Below are 2412 nucleotides of genomic sequence, written 5' to 3'. Positions count from 1 at the left end.
TCTCTCTGTGTGTTTTTGTGAATGTGTGTGTGCATATTAAGGAGAAAGTGTTATTGTGGGGATATTGACAAGTAGAGTTTACCATGTATAATTAACCCCCATATATCGCTTGTAAGCCCGCTGGCAGTCCCATTAATTTGGGGACCAGAGGTGCTTAGAGATTTTGTTCAGAAGAACTTTCCCCAATATCAATATAGTTCAGTCTCTTACTTCCTTCTAGTTGTTACTCAGATGTTAGCTTTTCAATCAAGATGATATTCTACCCTCTTTAAAACTGCAACCCATATCCCTTCCCAGCACTCCATATTCCTCTTGTTCTGCTTAAATTTTATATTTCGTGCACCATCTTTTGCAAAATGAATTTGATTTTTTACATTTTTGAATTAATATACATTTTAATGGACTGACAAATGTCTTAGCTACCAATTTTACTACTAGAATAATTTTAATGAAAAATTAACAGCTTATTAACCCACAATTTTGTGAAGCAAGAAAACTTGTTAGGACCTTTGCACGGTAGCACACTCTAAGGAGGGAATAAGTGGATCACCTTGGAATTTAGCTGCTAGGAGAACTGTAGCTCTTGTTCCTATTAATTGCACATCTTTCAGCTTCCAGGTGGCTCATGATTTTGCCATAAAGATTTTTTGAATTGAACTTTTCTGGTTAATACTTCTTTTGGATGCTAGTTTTCTTGTTTAAATAAATTGCTGAAATGTATCCCAAAAAGAAATACTGGGATTACATCAGTTCAGCAATTAAAAACAAAAATGTGAAGAGAAATTGGATAATATCCTAATGGGATTACATGGAAAACCCCAAAGTATTCGTATTTTTAAGTCAGCAATAAAGAAATCTCAACCTATCAGCTAAAATCACCTAGCAGGGAAAGTAAGGCCAGGTTCCATACATTTCTGTCCCCCATGGGAAGAATGAATTAATTACAATTTCTCACTTAAAGTCAAAGAAATTGAATTTCTGTTAAAATATTGGAAGATGTTAACAAAATGTGCAGGCTATCAGTTATTTCCAATGGTTACTTTCTTTTCAAAAAATACATTAGCTACGTTGTAGAGAATCCGGTTTGAATGGGCACATGATGGAGGTTTTAATAAAGATCATTTGTTTCAATGGGTACATATTAGATGGTTTCTAAATCTTTAAAGTGTTCTTTTCTGAGGAATAAGAAGTCTCAGTATTGTGTGTTTATGTGTCTTTATATGAGTGGGTGCTTATAAATGCTTTCAGGAATTTTTTTATTAAAAAATTATTTTTTTTACTTAGGGAAATATACATATTTTCCCACATGAAACAGTTGATAGTAAATCTTGAAATGCATTTCTGAAAACACAGCTCAATCTAGTATTTTGTAATTTGCTTCAAAGAATATCAACTAACACAAATAAATGTGACTCAAGTAATTTCTGTACCATTTATTCATTCATCTCAGAACTTCCTTGTGTAAAAAGATTTATTTTGTATGTATTGTGTATGCTTTAAGTAACATGAATTAATTTGGTAACTATTCCATTAGGCTTTCTTTGAATGTATATGTGCATATAGGGTTAAGGGGAGGGAGGAGGAAAAATAGTTAAGGGGAAGTTGGTTAAAAAAAAATGAAATTGTTCTGGGATGCTTTCCCAAATGAGAAATTAAGGGAAATAATAATAATGATAATGATAATAATTAAAGAAGAATTGATAAAACTTTAATTAAGTTCAACAGAAACTGTTAAGAAAATAATGGGTGGCTCACGCCTGTAATCCCAGCACTTTGGGAGGCCGAGGTGGGCGGATCACGAGGTCAGGAGATCGAGACCATCCTGGCTAACACGGTGAAACCCCGTCTCTACTAAAAATACAAAAAATTAGCCGGGCGTGGTAGCGGGCGCCTGTAGTCCCAGCTACTCGGGAGGCTGAGGCAGGAGAATGGCGTGAACCCGGGAGGCGGAGCTTGCAGTGAGCCGAGATCGCGCCACTGCACTCCAGCCTGGGCGACAGAGCGAGACTCCGTCTCAAAAAAAAAAAAAAAAAAAAAAAAAAAAGAAAATAATAGGGTGAAATTGCTCATATCTCAAGAGAGCAATTGCAATGAATATGAGAAAGTGGTAGGGAAGCAATTCTTTTCCAATCTTCATATCTTAATCACATGATCCTCTTAGGATGCCAAAATCCGGTCTTCTTAAATAATGATTAAATACTTTTTGTGGGCAAATCTATTAGCTGTAGTATTTGGGCTTAACTTTTTCTTCAAAATTAAATAGTGTCAAGAAGCTAAGAAAATAATAAGTTGATAATACTCTATCTTGGAAGAGATTTATGTTACACAATTGTATGCATTTCATAGAGCCTATTGACATATGTTTATGACTTGGGTATTTCACTGTATATAAATTTTTTATCAAAAGAAGTA

General features: G+C 34.5%; 1 annotated feature.

The window, feature by feature from the left end:
- Window positions 1704–1851: a silencer, noted in NCBI's record as "fragment chr2:146248222-146248369 (GRCh37/hg19 assembly coordinates)". NCBI's record gives its function as "represses an EF-1alpha promoter that drives an FKBP-Casp9 reporter gene in an ReSE screen in K562 erythroleukemia cells {active_cell/tissue: K562}" and the evidence as "EXISTENCE:reporter gene assay evidence [ECO:0000049][PMID:32094911]".

Source organism: Homo sapiens, chromosome 2, assembly GCF_000001405.40.
Source record: "Homo sapiens chromosome 2, GRCh38.p14 Primary Assembly".
Classification (NCBI taxonomy): Eukaryota; Metazoa; Chordata; class Mammalia; order Primates; family Hominidae; genus Homo; species Homo sapiens.
The sequence above is the reverse complement of the archived record's forward strand: the minus strand, read 5'-3'. Positions and strand labels throughout refer to the sequence as shown.